The 19,474-nt window shown below is 54.2% G+C and overlaps 1 protein-coding gene across 18 annotated transcripts, besides 7 other annotated features; it reads left to right on the forward strand.

Moving 5' to 3' along the window:
• Positions 1,728-1,897: an enhancer, noted in NCBI's record as "experimental_47218 CRE fragment used in MPRA reporter constructs". NCBI's record gives its function as "activates a minimal promoter by MPRAs in K562 erythroleukemia cells, with activity observed for both the introgressed and non-introgressed 17:4613630 variant alleles {active_cell/tissue: K562}" and the evidence as "EXISTENCE:reporter gene assay evidence [ECO:0000049][PMID:34662402]".
• Positions 1,728-2,356: a biological region, named in NCBI's record as "ATAC-STARR-seq lymphoblastoid silent region 8042".
• Positions 1,827-2,356: a silencer, noted in NCBI's record as "silent region_8042". NCBI's record gives its function as "represses an Ori minimal core promoter by ATAC-STARR-seq in GM12878 lymphoblastoid cells {active_cell/tissue: GM12878}" and the evidence as "EXISTENCE:reporter gene assay evidence [ECO:0000049][PMID:35858748]".
• Positions 2,110-12,975, forward strand: ARRB2 (arrestin beta 2). Of its 18 annotated transcripts, none has more exons than XM_047436066.1 (15): positions 2,110-2,222; positions 6,465-6,521; positions 7,451-7,511; positions 7,625-7,669; positions 7,890-8,086; positions 8,695-8,754; positions 9,163-9,230; positions 9,366-9,501; positions 9,739-9,823; positions 10,090-10,162; positions 10,761-10,898; positions 11,694-11,777; positions 11,871-11,950; positions 12,028-12,118; positions 12,424-12,975. In XM_047436066.1, the coding sequence occupies exons 8-15, from the start codon at positions 9,457-9,459 to the stop codon at positions 12,515-12,517; spliced, it is 690 nt and encodes a 229-aa protein (XP_047292022.1). In that variant the 5' UTR covers positions 2,110-2,222; positions 6,465-6,521; positions 7,451-7,511; positions 7,625-7,669; positions 7,890-8,086; positions 8,695-8,754; positions 9,163-9,230; positions 9,366-9,456; the 3' UTR covers positions 12,518-12,975. The 18 variants fall into 18 exon arrangements, 17 of the variants coding, with proteins under 17 accessions (XP_047292022.1, XP_047292023.1, NP_001244257.1 ...); XM_047436067.1 differs by having other exon boundaries at positions 12,064-12,118; NM_001257328.2 differs by having other exon boundaries at positions 6,491-6,521; positions 7,890-8,149; positions 12,064-12,118.
• Positions 6,540-6,609: an enhancer, noted in NCBI's record as "active region_11545". NCBI's record gives its function as "activates an Ori minimal core promoter by ATAC-STARR-seq in GM12878 lymphoblastoid cells {active_cell/tissue: GM12878}" and the evidence as "EXISTENCE:reporter gene assay evidence [ECO:0000049][PMID:35858748]".
• Positions 9,026-9,195: an enhancer, noted in NCBI's record as "experimental_47220 CRE fragment used in MPRA reporter constructs". NCBI's record gives its function as "activates a minimal promoter by MPRAs in K562 erythroleukemia cells, with activity observed for the introgressed 17:4620928 variant allele {active_cell/tissue: K562}" and the evidence as "EXISTENCE:reporter gene assay evidence [ECO:0000049][PMID:34662402]".
• Positions 9,730-10,929: an enhancer, noted in NCBI's record as "CDK7 strongly-dependent group 2 enhancer chr17:4621547-4622746 (GRCh37/hg19 assembly coordinates)". NCBI's record gives its function as "activates an origin of replication core promoter dependent on BRD2, BRD4, P300/CBP, MED14 and CDK7 cofactors, with strong dependence on CDK7, by STARR-seq in HCT116 cells {active_cell/tissue: HCT116}" and the evidence as "EXISTENCE:reporter gene assay evidence [ECO:0000049][PMID:35650434]".
• Positions 17,199-17,399: a silencer, noted in NCBI's record as "peak2699 fragment used in MPRA reporter construct". NCBI's record gives its function as "represses an SCP1 promoter by STARR-seq MPRAs in K562 erythroleukemia cells {active_cell/tissue: K562}" and the evidence as "EXISTENCE:reporter gene assay evidence [ECO:0000049][PMID:32103011]".

Below are 19,474 nucleotides of genomic sequence, written 5' to 3' on the forward strand. Positions count from 1 at the left end.
AGACCCAAAAAAGGAGCAGCAGCAAGATTTAACCGCAAAAAACAAAAGAACAAAAGGTCTACCTAACAGAAGAGTACCCCAGTGCATTGCAATTGCCGGTTCAGGCAGCCTGCTTTTATTCTCTAATCGGCCCCACCCACATCCTGCTGATTGGTTCATTTTACAGAGAGCCGATTGGTCCATTTTACAGAGAGCTGATTGGTCTGTTTTGGCAGGGTGCTGATTGGTGCATTTACAATCCGTGAGCTAGACACAAAAGTTCTCCACGTCCCCACTAGATTAGCTAGATACAGAGTGTAGACACAAAGGTTCTCCAAGTCCCCACCAGAGTAGCTAGATACAGAGTGTGGATTGGTGCATTCACAAACCCTGAGCTAGACACAGGGTGCTGATTGGTGTGTTTACAAACCTTGAGCTAGATACAGAGTGCCGATTGGTGTATTTACAATCCCTTAGCTAGACATAAAGGTTCTCCAAGTCCCCACCAGACTCAGGAGCCCATTTGGCTTCACCCAGTGGATCCCGCTTGGGGGCCGCAGGTGGAGCTGCCTGCCAGTCCGCATGTGCTTGCACTCCTCAGCCCTTGGGTGGTCGATGGGACTGGGTGCCTTGGAGCAGGGGGCGGTGCTCGTCGGAGAGGCTCGGGCCGCACAGGAGCCCACGGAGGGGGAGGGGAGGCTCAGGCATGGCGGGCTGCAGGTCCCGAGCCCTGCCCCGAGGGAAGGCAGCTAAGGCCCAGCGAAAAATTGAGCACAGCAGCTGCTGGCCCAGGTGCTAAGCCCCTCACTGCCCGGGGCTGGCCGGCCACTCCGAGTGCGGAGCCGCCGAGCCCACGCCCACCCGGAACTCGCGCTGGCCCGCAAGCACCGCGCGCAGCCCGGGTTCCCGCCCGCGCCTCTCCCTCCACACCTCCCCGCAAGCTGAGGGAACCGGCTCCGGCCTTGGACAGCCCAGAAAGGAACTCCCACAGTGCAGTGGCGGGCTGAAGGGCTCCTCAAGCGCGGCCAGAGTGGGTTCCAAGGCCGAGGAGGCGCCGAGAGTGAGTGAGAGCTGCCAGCACGCTGTCACCTCTCACCACTGCACTCCAGCCTCGGCGACAGAGTGAGACTCTGTCTCAAAAAAAAAAAAAAAAACAAGAAAAAGAAAAAAAACTTCTGCGCATCCTTCAGAAAGACTGTCCTCATCTGTTCCCCGCTCTGGACAGCCTGCACTCCCTCCACCCCCGCCCGGGCCAATTGCTGTTAGCGGCTGTGTCTTCTGACTCAGACCTCTGTAATAGCATTCCTGGGTAATACCTGTGTATGTGTCTCCTCAACTATTCTAGGAAGGCAGGGGCCATGGTAATTCGTATGTGTCCCCATCGATTGGCATAGTGAATAGCATAACATAGGCACGGATGGATGGGTCCATAGATGGACCGATGGATGGGAGCGGGTGAGTGAGTGGATGTTAGCTGGGATGGGTGGGTGAAGGAGATGGATAGTCAGAGACATTGGAAAAGGGAACCCTGCGAAGATCAAATGCAAACACCAGGAGGAGCTGACACGCTGCAGTGAAGAAGCGGGAGGGCTGGCCACAGAAGGCGGCACGCTCCGAGTGGAGCAGGTGAGCGGCGCGCACTGAAGCAAGCATCACGCAATTGAACCGCTCACCCACGTGTTCCCCCCCACCATCCTCCTTCCCAGACGGCGCTTCAGCTCATTCCACCGCCCCCAGCAGCCCGGTCGCCCCCACCGCCACTGAGAAAGCAAACAAAGGGGAGGAGACCCCTGCAGGTTCTGGATGCCGAAGGCCAATCGAAAGACTTAGATCCCCTGGAAGGCGGGCGCCTTGGTTTAGGGGGGTCCAATCGGTTTCAAGGGGTTGCAGCGGGGCGGGGAGATGGGCGGGAGGAGTGGGAGCTGGCCCCGCGCGCGGGGGAGGGCTACCAGGCTGGGAAGGAGCGCGAAGGGCTGGGGGCGGAGCCAATGGCCCCGCGTGTCTGCTAGGAGAGGGCGGGCAGCGCCGCGGCGCGCGCGATCCGGCTGACGCATCTGGCCCCGGTTCCCCAAGACCAGAGCGGGGCCGGGAGGGAGGGGGAAGAGGCGAGAGCGCGGAGGGCGCGCGTGCGCATTGGCGCGGGGAGGAGCAGGGATCTTGGCAGCGGGCGAGGAGGCTGCGAGCGAGCCGCGAACCGAGCGGGCGGCGGGCGCGCGCACCATGGGGGAGAAACCCGGGACCAGGTAAGGGAGGTGGGGCCACGCGGCGGGGCATGGGCGGCGGCTCGGGGCGGGGGCTGGGACGGTCCCAGACGAGGGCGCAGCGGAGAGGATCTGGGGGCCGGACGCCTGGGTCCCTAGGGACAGCCATCCGGGGCCGCACGCGCAGGTCCTCGAGGATAATGAGGGTGGGGGGGAAATGCCCGGGCCCCTGCAGAAAGCGAGGCCTGAGGGGGATCAGAAAAACCGGTGTCGGGGTTCTCGCAGGGATGTGGGGCCAGACTACTGGGCTCTCCCGTGCAGGCTGCGATGCAGGGATGGAGGAAGGAGGAGCAGGTGGCTGGCCCCGAGGGGTCGTGTACGGGGAGGCTGGATGCCGGGACGGGGGGGATCCACTCCAGACTCGCGCCAAGCCAATGGAAAGCCTCCTATCCAATATCCCCCAGGTAGTCGCGCTGCCCACACCTGTCCCGAGGGCCGGGTGGCTCCTCACCCAAACTTCTACCTTCCCTTGGGTTGCCAGGAGCAACAGCTTCATCTTGGGGGAGCCGAGTGCGTGGCGACCCTCCCTGAAACTAGATCGTATCCCTCTCTCTGGGGGTGGGGGAGGCAGTATTCACCCTGGGCGCGCGTCCACTCCCCGGATGTTTTCTGTGCAATCGAGGCTCTTTCCTTCCACTGATACCCCGAGTTCTCTTTTTTGGTCTCTAGCAAAATCCACTTCCTGTTGTGACTCAACACCCCCAAGGGGCAAGGGGTGGATGCCTGAGTCGCAGGGGAGCGGGAGCAAAAGACGAAAAGGTTGGGGCTGTAGGCCTCAACTCAGAGGGTATCAGGAATAGGGAATTGGTCCTGAGCTCTGGCTTGCTCTGCAAAACATCATATCAACCCCACTTCCAACCTATAGAGTATGAGAACCCGGGTTTCTGAGCATCAAGTAGACGAGCATCAGAAAGAGATCATCAGAGAGATGATCCGTCTCCTGGATCAGGGTTTAAACATCCCAGAGAAAGGGGAAGTTGCTGACTTGTGGGAGGCCCCTGATTTCCGTCATGTGGTTCAGGGAGTGGGACGGATGGACCAAAGGAGACTGCTAACTTGGCACAATTTCCCTCACCCCCATGAAATTCTGGGCCACAGGAAATGGAGCGAATAGCAGGAAGTGTGAAAGGACATCTGCTTCAGCTACCCCTGCTCCCACTGGGCACCTCCCTGGTCATCCCCACACTCTGCCTCCTTGGCCAGCCTAGTATATGCACGCTGCTCCTCCCCAGCCTGGCAGGAGGTGGCTGGGTTAGGATCCAAAGGGCAAGTGCCTTGCAGCTGCTCCAGGGCAATTGCCCCAGAACCACACTCCAGTTGGCCCACTGATTGTGGCTGTCACAGCCCTGTGCCAGGGCTCCTAATGGGAGGACACCCTGGGACAAAGAGGAAAACCAGAAGCAAAGGGGAGGGAGAGCCTGGATGATGCCACGGCACTCAGCTCCCAAGTTGGGATGAAAGATAGGGTGTTTATTCTAGCGGCTACCATATCGATGTGTATTCTCTTTTATTGGTTAGGAATACCTGGGGCCCTCCATACCCTTTGCCTTACAACCTTTGGACAGCTTGGCTTTCTGGGAAGAAGGGGCAAGTGAAGTTGTAGCAGAAACTGGGCCTATGGTAGAAACCATGTAGGGCCAAAGGCCAGGGTCATTGCTCTCCTATATGCTCCAGCTGTCAGAGCTGGAGACCAGATGGAAAGATGGTTAGGTCTTACCCAGACACTGTGGTAACCTGCCCATTGGGGTCCTCTGGGAATGGGGTGGTAGACTTGGAAGAGGGATGGGCTAGTTGGCAGGATTTCACGTTTCTGCTATCTATCTGAGGATCCTTTCCAGGGATCACTGCTGAGGCAGAGTGGATTGGAAGGAGTAAGGTGGTGCTTCAAAGAACAGGCCCACAATTGGCCAGATCACTGGGGTTGCCAAACACTTCCTTACCCTCCCAGCAATGGGTGGAGTCCAGGCTTAAATTGTTTCAGCAACTGGAAAGCAAATAACCTTCAATTCAACAAACTATTTATGCCAACTGCAGAGACAGATAGTGTAATATTGATCGAGAGGATGGACTCGGAGCCAGACTGCCTTGGTTTCTATTAATTCCCACCATTTACTCCCTCTGTGACCTTGAAACACTTGACCTCTCTCTGCCTCAGTTTCCTCACCTGTAAAACAGAGATATTAGGAGCTCCATCACTGGGTGGTTTTATTTAATTTAATTAATTTATTTATTTATTTATTTTTTGAGACAAAGTCTTGCTCTGTCACCCAGGCTGGAGTGCAGTGGCTCAATCTCAGCTCACTGCAACCTAAGGCCGGGCACGGTGGCTCACGCCTGTAATCCCAGCACTTTGGGAGGCTGAGGCGGGTGGATCACCTGAGGTCAGAAGTTGGAGATCAGCCTGGCTAACATGGGGAAACCTCGTCTCTACTAAAAAAATACAAAATACAGGCCAGACACAGTGACTCAAGCCTGTAATCCCAGCCTTCTGGGAGGCTGAGGCGGGCGGATCACTAGAGGTCAGGAGTTTGAGATCAGCCTGGCCAACATGGGGAAACCCCATCTATACTAAAAATATAAAAATTAGCGGCCGGGCGTGGTGGCTCACGCCTGTAATCCCAGCACTTTGGGAGGCTGAGACAGGTGGATCACGAGGTCGGGAGATTGAGACCATCCTGACTAACACAGTGAAACCCCATCTCTACTAAAAATACCAAAATTCGCCGGGCGTGGTGGTGGGTGCCTGTAGTCCCAGCTACTCGGGAGGCTGAGGCAGGAGAATGGCGTGAACCCGGGAGGCAGAGGTCGCAGTGAGCCGAGATCGCACCACTGCACTCCAGCCTGGGCGACAGAGTGAGACTCCGTTTCAAAAAAAAAATTAGCCAGGCATGATGGCAGGCACCTCTAATCCCAGCTACTCAGGAAGCTGAGGCATGAGAATCGCTTGAACCCAGGAGGTGGAGGTTGCAGTGAGCTGACAGCGTGCCACTCTACTCCAGCCTTGGTGATAGAGTGAGACTCCATCTCCAAAAAAAAAAAAAAAATACAAAACATAGCCGGGCATGGTGGCTCACTCCTGTAATCCCAGCTACTCAGGAGGCTGAAGCAGGAGAATCACTTAAACCTGGGAGGCGGAGGTTGCAGTGAGCTGAGATCGCACCACTGCACTCCAGCCTGGGCAACAGAGTGAGACTCTGTCTCAAAAAACAGAGTATTACAAGAGATGACACATTTGAAACACTTGGAACAGTGCTGGGCATGGAGTAGTCACTCTGAAATGTTAGCAGCATTACCATCTTCATGATATGGCTGGCATTGTGCTGGAGATGCCTAAATTAATAAGGCCTCTGAGGCTCACAGTCTGAGGAGGGAGGGAGCTAACTATCCTTGTGTGCTACCACACCACAAGTAAAACATAAACAAGGTGTGACAGGAACCCAAAACAAGGAGCGACCAGGGTCTGGGCTGGGTCAGCTTCCTAAAGGCTGGGCCTTAAAAGACAAATAGGCTTTTAAGCTCTTGAGGTCGGAGTTGGGGACAGTTGGAGGTGAGTAGAGTCGAACTTGGGTAGGGCCTGTGGTAGAAACTATCTGAGGGCCAAAGGCCAGGGTCATTGCTCTCCTATATGCTCCAGCTGTCAGAGCTGTAGACCAGATGGAAAGATGGTTAGGTCTTATCCAGACACTGTGGCTACCTGCCCATTCGGGTCCTCTGGGAAGAGCCTGGGTGGTTCCTAGGGCAACCAGTGGCCATTACTGGGGAGGGAAGGGGACGAATGAGGGTGGACAAGACAAGGGGCATTTCCCCTTGCCACCACGTTAGAAATAGGAAGGACCTTCCGGGAAGAAGGGTTCCCCTTGCCACCACGTTAGAAATAGGAAGGACCTTCCGGGAAGAAGGGTTCCCCTTGCCACCACGTTAGAAATAGGAAGGACCTTCCGGGAAGAAGGGTTCCCCTTGCCACCACGTTAGAAATAGGAAGGACCTTCCGGGAAGAAGGGTTCCCCTTGCCACCACGTTAGAAATAGGAAGGACCTTCCGGGAAGAAGGGTTCCCCTTGCCACCACGTTAGAAATAGGAAGGACCTTCCGGGAAGAAGGGGAAAGGGGCAGAGCTGGGCAAAGCCCCACAGCCTCAGGCAGGAGGCCTGGGTGAGCACTGCTTCTCAGGCCTGGGAGGGAGAGGGTCCTGGTGTGGGGTCCCTGCTGAGTCTGAGGGAGGCAGTGGGGTTTCCCTTTCTGTTTTGTTAGGGTCTTCAAGAAGTCGAGCCCTAACTGCAAGGTGAGTCTCCACAGCACTTACCCTTTTGACCCTCCCTGGGCCCCAACAAAGCCCAGCCTTCCCCTAGACGATCCCCAACCTACCCAAAGATGATCCCCAACCCCTAGCTCCCCACTTCCTGTGACAGCTAAGCGCCGACTTCCTTCCCTCCTGAAGCCCCTTGCCGCAGAGGCTGCTCAGCCTGAGCCAGCCACAGGGCTGGGTGGGGCAGGCTTGGGTCCCCAAGCAAGACCACAGAGGAGGAGGCCAAAAGCAAGCCATGTGCCTGTAGCCCTCCTAGGAGCCAACCCAAGGTGCGTGGGGCTGGGAAAACCTAACAGCCCCCGGGCTATGGCCTATTTATCCTAGAGCCCCTTGAGGGGACCTAGTGAGGGTGGCAGCTGCTCTCTAGCTGGCTGGTTGGGCTGAGTTCTCCCCGAGGATCCAAACACACACACACACAGACACACACACACATACACACATACACACACACCTGGCTGGTTGGGCTGAGTCCTCCCTGAGGATGCAAACACACACACACGGACACACACACACACACACGGACACACACAAACACACCTCGCTGGTTGGGCTGAGTCCTCCCTGAGGACACACACAGACACACATGCACATACATGTTCACACACACACCTGACTGGTTGGCTGAGGACACACACACACACACACACACACACACACAAACACACACACACCGGGCTGGTGGGCAGAGGTGTGCAGAGATAAAGGAGCAGCTCAAAAGCCTAAAGGTCCACTAGTCTGAGAAACGCCACCACCCTCACTTTCCAACACTATTGGGAGGAAACCTGGAACAACTCCTTCCTGATAGCCCAGCCTGGAGATCCCCGGGCAGGGCAGCCAGTTTTGAGGGCTCCGATGCCCTGTCACCATCCTCCCCAATCTCCCCTGTGACCCCTTGACATCCTCAGCTCACCGTGTACTTGGGCAAGCGGGACTTCGTAGATCACCTGGACAAAGTGGACCCTGTAGGTAAGTTTTCCCAGAAAGGGACAGCTCGTTCCCCAAGAGGGGAAGAAGTTCCCGGGCCCAGGAAAGCGGGGAGCGGCCCTTTCAGGAAGTGAGCTGGTGTGTCCCCCTCCTAGATGGCGTGGTGCTTGTGGACCCTGACTACCTGAAGGACCGCAAAGGTACTGGCCCCAAGTCCAGGGGGCCCAGGGAAAGTGGGGGCTAGGGAAGTGAAATGGGCTGGCCTTGGAAGGGCGCCCCAGAGAGATGGAGGCTGGAGGTGGAAGCCAGGAGTAGGGTTCAGGCAAGTCTTATGCTGCTGAGGGAGGAGCAGCGGCTGCTAGGTGCCAGGGGACTGGGGAAGTGGGGCTCCTGACCACTCATCTCACCCTCCCTTGCCAGTGTTTGTGACCCTCACCTGCGCCTTCCGCTATGGCCGTGAAGACCTGGATGTGCTGGGCTTGTCCTTCCGCAAAGACCTGTTCATCGCCACCTACCAGGCCTTCCCCCCGGTGCCCAACCCACCCCGGCCCCCCACCCGCCTGCAGGACCGGCTGCTGAGGAAGCTGGGCCAGCATGCCCACCCCTTCTTCTTCACCGTGAGGATGCCCCTGCCCTCTGAGGGCCAGGGGGCTGGGGCTGGGACTGTGTCTGGGGTGGGGGTAAGGCACTGCTGTGGGCAGATCTGGAAGAAACAGTGAGGCAGGGACCCTAGATCCACTTCCCTTCAGGGTCCCAGTGCATTCAGGAAGCCCTTGATTATCTGCCTCCTCTCTGGGGCCCCTTCCTTCTTCCCTTCTCATCCCCAGGAGTCCTTTCTCCAGCCTCTTTTTTGTTGTTGTTGAGACAAAGTCTCGCTCTGTCGCCCAGGCTGGAGTGCAGTGGCACAATCTTGGTTCACTGCAACCTCCGCCTCCCAGGTTCAAGTGATTCTTATGCCTCAGCCTCCCGAGTAGCTGGGATTACAGGCACGCACCACCACACACGACTAATTTTGTATTTTTAGTAGTGATGGGGTTTTGCCACGTTGGTCAGGCTGGTCTGGAACCCCTGACCTCAGGTGATCCGCCCACCTTAGCCTTCCAAAGTGTTGGGATTACAGGCATGAGCCACCACACCCAGCGTCTCCAGCCTCTTAGGTTGAGATTTGGAGGAAGATCTGGGGGCTTTCTGGAAGAACTGAAGTCTTCTCCTTCCTCCGCCACAGATACCCCAGAATCTTCCATGCTCCGTCACACTGCAGCCAGGCCCAGAGGATACAGGAAAGGTACGGGAGGAACAGCTCTGAGGGCTCCTAGGGCAGGACATGGGCCAGCAGGAGCCTGGAGGCACAGCTGAGCCAGAGGGTGAACTGTCGAGATGCCAGGGTGGGGCCGAGGGTAGGCCAGTGTCCCCCGTGGAAGTGGGGCGTATGTGGTGGTCATTGTGCACGCATGACACTGCCTCCTGCTCTGTGGACCCGCATGGATCTGGGGATGGGGGCTCCCCTTGCACTACCATGACCAAGCCTCTGCCAGGTTCTGGGCTTTGGAGAGGAAGAAGACTTAGTCCCCAGGGTCGTGAGACCACAATGAGGCAAGAGTCCCTGCCCGAGAGGAGGGAAGGGGGAGGAAGAAAGGGCAGTGATGGTGGCGGGAGCCTCCGGTAAGATGTGGCCTTTTCTCCCCTCCCCGAGGCCTGCGGCGTAGACTTTGAGATTCGAGCCTTCTGTGCTAAATCACTAGAAGAGAAAAGCCACAAAAGGTAAGGGAAGTGACCTCCTCTGTGGTGTAAGAGGAGGCTTTCCTCCCCGCTTCCAGGAGCCCAGGCCCCGTGCGGGGGAGGAGTAGGGTTGGGGTGTGTGAGGAATGACCCCTCCTGCCCCTACTCTGATCCCAGGAACTCTGTGCGGCTGGTGATCCGAAAGGTGCAGTTCGCCCCGGAGAAACCCGGCCCCCAGCCTTCAGCCGAAACCACACGCCACTTCCTCATGTCTGACCGGTCCCTGCACCTCGAGGCTTCCCTGGACAAGGAGGTGGGGCGTGAGAGGGTGACACGGATGCCACGGTGCAGTTTAGACCCTGGGGGAGGGGCGAAGCCACACATCAAGAGGACATTTGTAAAGGAGGTTGCCTTGGCTGGGTGTGGACAGTTGCCGTGGGCTTGGGTTTGAGGGGAGGGGGCCAGAACAATGTGTCTGTGTTTGGGGACACACTGATGATGGGAACAGTGAAAACCAGTTCCAATTCACATGACCCCCTCCCCCCAAAAGCTGTACTACCATGGGGAGCCCCTCAATGTAAATGTCCACGTCACCAACAACTCCACCAAGACCGTCAAGAAGATCAAAGTCTCTGGTAGGAGGTGGGGTTTGGAAGGGGGTCTTCGGGGAGGGCGTTACTGCACAGGTGGCTCCTGGTGTGATCTCAGCCCAGGCCATTTCCCAGTGCGGGAGACCCACCAGGGCTCAAAGAATTTAGGTTGTTCCATAATGATACGGGGAGCCTCGGTGTTTACTGCTTCAGTGGGGAGCATGGGGGGGCCACGCCACGGGGTCTGGAGTTGTGGTGTGGTGGTGGCTTGTGCTCCATCCAGAGCTGCCTGACCCCGTCCCACCCCACAGTGAGACAGTACGCCGACATCTGCCTCTTCAGCACCGCCCAGTACAAGTGTCCTGTGGCTCAACTCGAACAAGAGTGAGTATCGGGAGAGACCCATGTTCCAATCTAGGGGAGAAGAGCAGGATCAGGAGAATGTGAGGTGGAGGAAGAATTCTTCCTGAGCCATCTCCACCTTTTTTTTTTTTTTTGAGATGGAGTTTTTGCTCTTGTTGCCCAGCCTGGAGTGCAATGGGGCAACCTCTGCTCACTGCAACCTCCACCTCCCGGGTTCAAGCGATTCTCCTGCCTCAGCCTCCCACGTAGCTGGGACTACAGGCATGCACCACCATACCCGGCTTATTTTTAATAGAGACGAGGTTTCACCATGTTGGCCAAGCTAGTTGCGAACCCCTGACCTCAAGTGACCCACCCGTCGCGGCCTCTCAAAGTGCTGGGATTACAGGCGTGAGCCGCCGCGACCGGCCACCATCTTCACTTAAAAGGGTATTCCCTCCACAGCCAGGCTCCAGGCTGTTAATTTTCTTGAGCACGTTGAGCCAAAACCTACTCCCTTGTGACCTGTGCCCAAAGAAACAAGGGACTAGTGAGGGGGAGATGCTGCTTGGGGGTCATAGGCCGCCCCTTGCCCAGCCCAGCGCCCCTAAGCATCTTGTTCTCTTGTCCCCACCCCCAGTGACCAGGTATCTCCCAGCTCCACATTCTGTAAGGTGTACACCATAACCCCACTGCTCAGCGACAACCGGGAGAAGCGGGGTCTCGCCCTGGATGGGAAACTCAAGCACGAGGACACCAACCTGGCTTCCAGCACCATGTGAGGGTGGGGCTGGGGCGGGTCCCCTGCAGGCCAGGGGCCAGACGTCGGTTCAGTGCTCTATCCTAGTGTGCCAGGGATGTATCAGTGAACAGAAGAGACAAAAAGAACTCTTACATTCTAGGGGAGGGAGGATAGCCAAATCTGATCAGTGGTCACTGTACAGCAGGTTTAGTGACAAGTATGAAGGAGAAAAAGCCAGGCAGAGAAGGAAGGGATGGGGGGCAGTGAGGTGCGAAGGTGAATTCGGAGTAAGGACCCAGCGGAAGTAAGCAATGTGGGTGAGCAGGAAAGGAGGGTTCTGGGCAGAGAGAAAACAAAGACTCAGAGGTGGGGCAGCCTGGGGTGTTGGAGGAATGGGGAGGTGCCATCGTGCCCTCGGGCAGGAGCAGCCCTGGAGGTCCCCAGCTTCACAAAGGGCTGGATTTCACCTCTCCGGATGCCTTTGTTCAGGGTTCTCACTGCACAGCCACACACAGCAGGCCCGGAGGGCAACTTAGGGAGAAGAACTAAGTACCAGGAGAGGAGGAGGAGGTGAGGTCAGGGGCTAATGGAGAGCCAGACGGTGCAAGGCTGTTAGCGGAGAAGGACGTCAGCTTTTCCTGGAGAGGAGCCAAGGAGGCTCTGAGCAGGGAGTGCAGTGCGCACTGTACCATAACCGCACGGCCTGGGCTGCTGGGGCCCTGGGGGCCTGTGCGAGTTTGTGGTCCTGCCCAGAGTCCCCGTGGGAACCCCACGGTGGGCCAGGTGACAGGGTGATAGGCCCTGGTCTGACTCCAACACCCTCAATTGCAGCGTGAAGGAGGGTGCCAACAAGGAGGTGCTGGGAATCCTGGTGTCCTACAGGGTCAAGGTGAAGCTGGTGGTGTCTCGAGGCGGGTGAGTGTCATGGGGGAGCCTGGGTGGGGGTCACACTGGCTCTCTCTAGTCCCATGTCGTCGTCCTCTTCACGATGCCTCTCCCCTTCCCCAGGGATGTCTCTGTGGAGCTGCCTTTTGTTCTTATGCACCCCAAGCCCCACGACCACATCCCCCTCCCCAGACCCCAGTCAGGTGAGCACACTACCCACCCCAAGCCCTCAGAGGGAGGGCCTGAAGCAGGGCCAGTGGAGGAAAACTGGCCCTTCCAGCACCCACCCCCACACCCCCTCTTCCCGTCCCCCCAGCCGCTCCGGAGACAGATGTCCCTGTGGACACCAACCTCATTGAATTTGATACCAAGTAAGAAACTCATTCCCCTACTTGACCCTCTTGGGACAAAGATTCCTATAACATTCAAATCTGCCCTCATACCTCTTCCTTGCTTTTGGTGGGGAGAAGCGGATTGTAGCATCAAATCAAGATGCCTTAGCCTTGTGAGGCTGCCTCTTGCTGCCTTTTCTTTGTCCCTTCCTGTAAATACCTCTGGTCCCACTGCTGTTCGAACGCCTCTGTCCCAGAGGCCTAGCTTCGGGGAGGGCAGGGAGTGGGAGGCTGGGACAAGAGTCAGAAGCCCTCACCTCACAACCCTCTTTCCCACCACCAAGCTATGCCACAGATGATGACATTGTGTTTGAGGACTTTGCCCGGCTTCGGCTGAAGGGGATGAAGGATGACGACTATGATGATCAACTCTGCTAGGAAGCGGGGTGGGAAGAAGGGAGGGGATGGGGTTGGGAGAGGTGAGGGCAGGATTAAGATCCCCACTGTCAATGGGGGATTGTCCCAGCCCCTCTTCCCTTCCCCTCACCTGGAAGCTTCTTCAACCAATCCCTTCACACTCTCTCCCCCATCCCCCCAAGATACACACTGGACCCTCTCTTGCTGAATGTGGGCATTAATTTTTTGACTGCAGCTCTGCTTCTCCAGCCCCGCCGTGGGTGGCAAGCTGTGTTCATACCTAAATTTTCTGGAAGGGGACAGTGAAAAGAGGAGTGACAGGAGGGAAAGGGGGAGACAAAACTCCTACTCTCAACCTCACACCAACACCTCCCATTATCACTCTCTCTGCCCCCATTCCTTCAAGAGGAGACCCTTTGGGGACAAGGCCGTTTCTTTGTTTCTGAGCATAAAGAAGAAAATAAATCTTTTACTAAGCATGAGTGTGTGTTTTCTCTGTAGTGTTTAGAGAGTGTATGGTGTGCTTATCCATGATTCTGTTAGCTTGTGGGGGAGGACCCAGTCTCTCTTCTGCACCCAAAAGCCACCTGACACGGAGGCTATCAGCAAATGTTTATTGGATGACTGTGCTGTGGCTGTGTTCCAGGGTAAACATCAAAACTTGACTTAGTCCAAACTCAAGGGTGAGGCTTGATAAGGCCACAAAGTGAACTTAGTCATTTCTAGAGGTCACAGTAACTAAACTAACTCGCCTGCACACAGATGCTCACGGGAGCTAGCCAGGGCAGGCCCTTCCCTGTTGCGGCCGACGCACATGACCACCTGTGACCTGTTGTGACCGAGTCGCGTTCATTTCCACTGCTCCTTATGGCTGCTCGAGCCATCTGCTCCTGTGGCTCAGCGGTGCCACAACCGCAGGCCTCACCAGACAAGCCACGTGACGTCTCTGGAGTCTGGTACCTACATTCTAACACAGAAGCTGAGGCTTGGGCAGCAAGAACGTCATGCTGCCGTGGGCCCCTGTCCTAGGGACCACATCTTAGTGCTGTTCATGGGATATTCATCAGGGACTCCCTGAGGCTTGACCGAAGCCCCAGGCTGGGCTGGAGGGAGGTAGCATCACTCCACGAACATTTCTCACCTCCATCATCTGCTTCCACTCCTGAAGCCCAATCTTTCTCCTAAAGCTCCTTCATGCATTCCACAAACAATCTGGATTTGAGTCCCTACAAAGTACCAGGCATAGTATAGCAGTACAACAACAACAACAACAACAAAAACACATTAATTCATTCCCTTTTTTTTTTTTTTCTTTTGAGACAGAGTCTTGCTCTGTCGTCCAGGCTGGAGTGCAATGGTGCCATCTCGGCTCACTGTAACCTCCGCCTCCCAGGTACAAGTGATTCTCCTGCCTCAGCCTCCGGAGTAGCTGGGATTACAGGCGCCCGCCACAACTCCCGGCTAATTTTTGTATTTTTAGTGGAGATGGGGTTTCGCCATGTTGGTCAGGCTGTTCTCAAACTCCTCACCTCAAGTGGTCCACCCGCCTCGGCCTCCCAAAGTGCTGGGATTACAGGTGTGAGCCACCGCGCCAGGCCTCCCTAGTTATTTAACTACAATATCTTTGCTTCAGAGGAGAAGTACTGGAGCCAGGAGAACGCGTGACAGGGAGTTCTGAGCTAGGTTGGGTTTGGGGAAGATTTCCCTGAGAAAGTGACCTTTAAGCAGAGAAGTGAAAGATGAGGGGAGTTCGGGGACCGTCCAGGGATGAGCATTCTGGGCAATGGCAGTGTCGTGTGAAGGCAGGAGGAAACAACACATCTGGGACCTAAAGAGGCCAGAGAGACTGGGACAGAGACAGCCAGAGGCAAAGTAGTTCCTTCTGGCTGCTGAGCCAGATGGGGACAGCTCGCACAGGCCTTTAGTCTATGTTATGACTCGTGACTTCTAGTTAAATCGCCATTTACCCACAAGCTTTAAGTACTGCCAAAAGGCCCGTGACCTTGCTTACCCCGCCACGGCGGCAGCCTCCCCTGCAGAACCTGGACTTTCTCATGCGGAAGAACGGAAGAACCATCCCGCCTAATACCATCTCCAGCATCCCTCCGACTCCCGTGCACCTGCTCCTTGACCTCTAAGCCCAGGTATCTCAATTTTTTTTTTTTTTTTTTTGAGATGGAGTCTTGCTTTCTCACCCAGGCTGGAATGCAATGGTGCTATCTTGGCTCACTGCAACCTCTGCCTCCCAGGTTCAAGCAATTCTTCTGCCTCAGCTTCCCGAGTAACTGGGACTACAGGCACACGCCACCACGCCTGGCTAATTTTTGTATTTTTAGTAAAGACAAGGTTTCGCCATACTGGCCAGGCTGGTCTCGAACTCCTGACCTCCTGATCCGCCCACCTTGGCCCCCCAAAGTGCTGGGATTACAGGCGTGAGCCACCGCGCCTGGCCGATCTCAAATTTTTTTCAGGAGAATCAGAACCCTCGGGGTGCCATGGTAAAAATCCAGAGTTGGGCTCCACCTTTCCCGATTCTGAGTCACAAGGTCCCAAGAAGAATCCAAAAATCCGGATTTTTAATTAGTACACACTTTGAGAAACTGCCCTTTTTATTTATTTAATTAACTTATTTATTATTATCTTTTTTTGAGATGGAGTCTCACTTTGTCACCCAGGCTGGAGTGGAATGGCGCAATCTCAGCTCACTGCAACCTCCGCCTCCCGGGTTCAAGCCGTTCTCCTGCCTCAGCCTCCCGAGTAGCTGGGATTACAGGCACGTGCCACCATGCCTGGCTAATTTTTGTATTTTTATAGAGCCAAGGTCTCGCCATTGCACTCCAGCCTGGGCGACAAGAGCAAAACTCTCTCTCAATAAATAAATAAATAGTCTAATTCAATGGCATTTAGTATACTCACAATGTTGTACAACAATCCCCTCTGTCTACTTCCAAACATTTGGCTTCCTGTATTTTCAATAACAGATAAATTTTTTTAAATTGTCTTTCTTAAGGCCGGGCGCAGTGGCTCACACCTGTGATTTGTAATCCCAGCACTTTGGGAAGCCGAGGCGGGTGGATCGCCTGAGGTCAGGAGTTCGAGAACAGCCTGGCCAACATAGTGACACCCCGTCTCTACTAAAAATACAAAAAATTAGCTGAGCATGGTGGCGGGCGCCAGTAATCCCAGCTACTCGGGAGGCTGAGGCAGGAGAATCACTTGAACCCTGGAGGTGGAGGTTGCAGTGAGCTGAGATTGTGCCACTGCACTCCAGCCTGGGCAACAAGAACAAAACTCCATCTCAGAAAAAAAAAAAAATTCTTTTTGCTTTTTAGGTTCATACACTAGGAAAATTTTTTATATTTATTTTCATGTAGTCAGTTATAATAGCCACACAAAAAAAAAAAAAAAAAAAAAAAAAACAGCTTATGGCCAGGCGCGGTGGCTCATGCCTGTAATCCCAGCACTTTGGGAGGCCGAGGCAGGCGGATCACAAAGTCAGGAGATCGAGACCATCCTGCTAACACGGTGAAACCCCGTCTCTACTAAAAATACAAAAAATTAGCCAGGCGGGGTGGCGGGTGCCTGTAGTCCCAGCTACTCGGGAGGCTGAGCAAGAGAATGGTGTGAACCCGGGAGGTGGAGCTTGCAGTGAGCCGAGATGGTGCCACTGCACTCCAGGCTGGGTGACAGAGCGAGACTCCGTCTCAAAAACAAACAAACAAACAAAAAAACCAGCTGATTGGGTGTTTTGTCACAAAGCTTTTGGCCCTTCTGTTTTCTCACTACTTGACACTTCCTTTTCTTTCCAGCCTATACTTCAAGGTCACCATATCAACCCCTATCTCATCAGCACACTCCACCCTCCATTCACAATCCTGTTCTCAATCCACAGCCTGGATCCATCCAACTATCTCCCTTCTCTGCTCTGAACACAGGGGTTGGTGCTCATACAACCACTTGCTTGTTCATTCAACACATTTTGTTTTTGAGACAGAGTTCTCGCTGTGTCACCCACGCTACAATGCAGTGGCCCAATCTCGACTCACCACAACCTCCGCCTCCCGGGTTCAAGCGATTCTCCTGCCTCAGCCTCCTGAGTAGCTGGGATTACAGGTGCCCGCCACCCCACCTGGCTAATTTTTGTATTTTTTAGTAAAGATGGGGTTTCACCACGTTGGCCAGGCTGGTCTCGAACTCCTGGCCTCATGTGATCCACCTGCCTCAGCCTCCCAAAGTGCTGGGATTACAGGCATCAGCCACCGCGCCTGGCCAACAAACTTTTTTGAACTCATTCTAGGTACCAGACACTAGGTATGAATCTGGGGCTGCTAAAAATATATGGTCTCTAACCCAAGGTGGGCCCCCAACACCCGATAAGCTTTTGTCTCTCTCCATGTCCCTGGTTACCTCCCTCTCCTGCTCCCATCCTATGCACTAATTCTTTTTTTTTTTTTTTTAAGGTGGAGTTTCACTCTTGTTGTCCAGGCTGGAGTACAATGGCACGACCTTGGCTCACTGCAATCTCTGCCTCCCCGGTTCAAGCGATTCTCCCACCTCGGCCTCCCAAGTAGCTGGGATTACAGGCGCCCGCCACCATGCCTGGCTAATTTTTGTATTTTTAGTAGAGACGAGGTTTCACCACGTTGGCCAGGCTGGTCTCAAACTCCTGACCTCAGGTGATCTGCCCGCCTCAGCCTCCCAAAGTGGTAGGATTACAGGCGTGAGCCACCACGCCCAGCTACCTACGCACTAATTTTCTACCTTCCTCATGCTCAAAGTGACTTCTGTTTTTCACAGAGATTAGGCAATGAAGGATGAATAATTTCAATTTCCCACCTCCTACTGACAAACAGTGACATCTACACCAATTCTCCTACACAACCAAGGTTAAGATGCCTTCTCCAGTTCAAAGCTAATCCCTCCACCTGTGCTCAGATTGCTGTCCTCCCACCTCCATTGAGACCTTGATTCACCAAACCACACCCCTCTCCTACCTGTGTCTATGGCTCTTCCTCCATGGTAAATAAGCCCACATAAGTCTATTCCATTTAAGGAAAGAGGAGGGAGGAAGAAAAAAAAGAGGAAGAAGGAAAGGACAAACCAAACAAAACACTCTCCTCTACACTTACGTCTCTTTTTTATTTCCTCTCTTCTTTGGTTTTGTTTTGTTTTGTTTTTTGAGACAGATTTTCGCTCTTGTCACCCAGGCTGGAGTGCAATGGTGAGATCTCAGCTCACTGTAACCTCCGCCTCCTGGGTTCAAGTGATTCTCCAGCTTCAGCCTCCTGAGTAGCTTGGATTACAGGCACCCACCACCATACCCAGCTAATTTTTGTATTTTTAGTAGATACAGGGTTTCACCATGTTGGCCAGGCTGGTCTCGAACTCTTGACCTCATGATCCGCCCGCCTCGGACTCCCAAAGTGCTGGGATTACAGGCATGAGCTACTGCACCCAGCCCTCTCTCACTCTTCATTCTTTCTTTACTTTTTGTTTTCAAAGTTATATATACATATAAAGAATCAGATAGTACTACAAGACCTATTACAATAAAAAGCAGACCCTTCCCACTCTAATTTCCTCCTCCTCAGAGGCAACTACTTTCACCACCTTTTTTTTGAGACAGGGTCTTGCTCTGTCACCCTTGGCATGATCACAGCTTACTGCAGCCTCCTCGATGCCCCAGGCTGAAGAGATCCTCCCACCTCAGCCTCCCAAGTAACTGGGACTACAGGTGCAAGCCACCATGCCCAGCTAGTTTTTTTAACTTTTTTGATTATTTTATTAATTTGTTTTTTTGAGACAGAGTCTCACTCTGTCGCCAAGGCTGGAGTGCAGTGGCACTGTGTCGGCTCACTGCAACCTCCGTCTGCTAGGTTCAAGCAATTCTCCTGCCTCAGCCTCCCGAGTAGCTGGGATTACAGGTGTCCACCACCATGCCCAGCTAGTTTTTATATTTTTAGTAGAGACGGGGTTTCACCATGTTGGCCAGGTTGGTCTTGAACTCCTGACCTCAGGTGATCCACCCACCGTGGCTTCCCAAAGTGTTGGGATGACAGGCGTGAGCCACCGCGCCCGGCCAGTTTTTTTATTTTTTGTAGAGATGGAGTATCCTCACGTTGCTCAGGCTACACCTGGCCTACTTTCACCACCTTTAGATGTTTATTTTGGCATTTACCTCCCTATCTCTAAACATGCTTATTTGGCAACTTCATGATTTTTGTTTTTGTTTGTTTTTTTTGTTTTGAGAGAGGGTCACGCTCTGTCGCCCAGGCTGGAGTGCAATGGTGCAATCTCAGCTCACTGCAACCTCCGCCTCCCATGTTCAAGCGATTCTCTTGTCTCAGCCTCCTGAGTAGCTGGGACTACAGATGCGTGCCACCACGCCCAGCTAATTTTTGTATTTTTAGTAGAGATGGGGTTTCACCATGTTGGCCAGGATGGTTTCCAACTCCCAACCTCAGGTGATCCGCCAGTCCCGGCCTCCCAAAGTGCTGGGATTATAGGCATGAGCCACCACACCTGGCTTGTGTGACAGATTTTTTTCATTACTTCCCTCATGGTTTGATTTTTCAAGGGTGTTTTGTTTGTTTGTTTGTTTTGTTTTTGAGATGGAGTCTTGCTCCAAATTGCAGTGTTACTGATACCTTCTAGTCTTCTGAAAATAATGTTTGTGGAGGAAGGGATCAAGAAATGTAGCACCATCATTTAAATTCCCTCAGGACCAACCCTACTGGACACATAAACAATAGCAACAACATCTACTTTCAATAAAATGTTGGCATTGCTCTCTGCCAATTACCTTGAGAGCCTGACTCTGGAATGAAAAGCTCTATACCGACCCTGGCCTTGAACTCCTGACCTCAAGTGATCCTCCCGCCTCGACCTCCAAAAGTGCTGGGATTGCAGGCATAAGCCACCATGCCCAGCCAAGGATGCTTTTTCGGATTCAATCATGTTTTATACTATCTCTTACCT

The sequence above is a fragment of the Homo sapiens genome, chromosome 17, assembly GCF_000001405.40.
Source record: "Homo sapiens chromosome 17, GRCh38.p14 Primary Assembly".
NCBI lineage: Eukaryota > Metazoa > Chordata > Mammalia > Primates > Hominidae > Homo > Homo sapiens.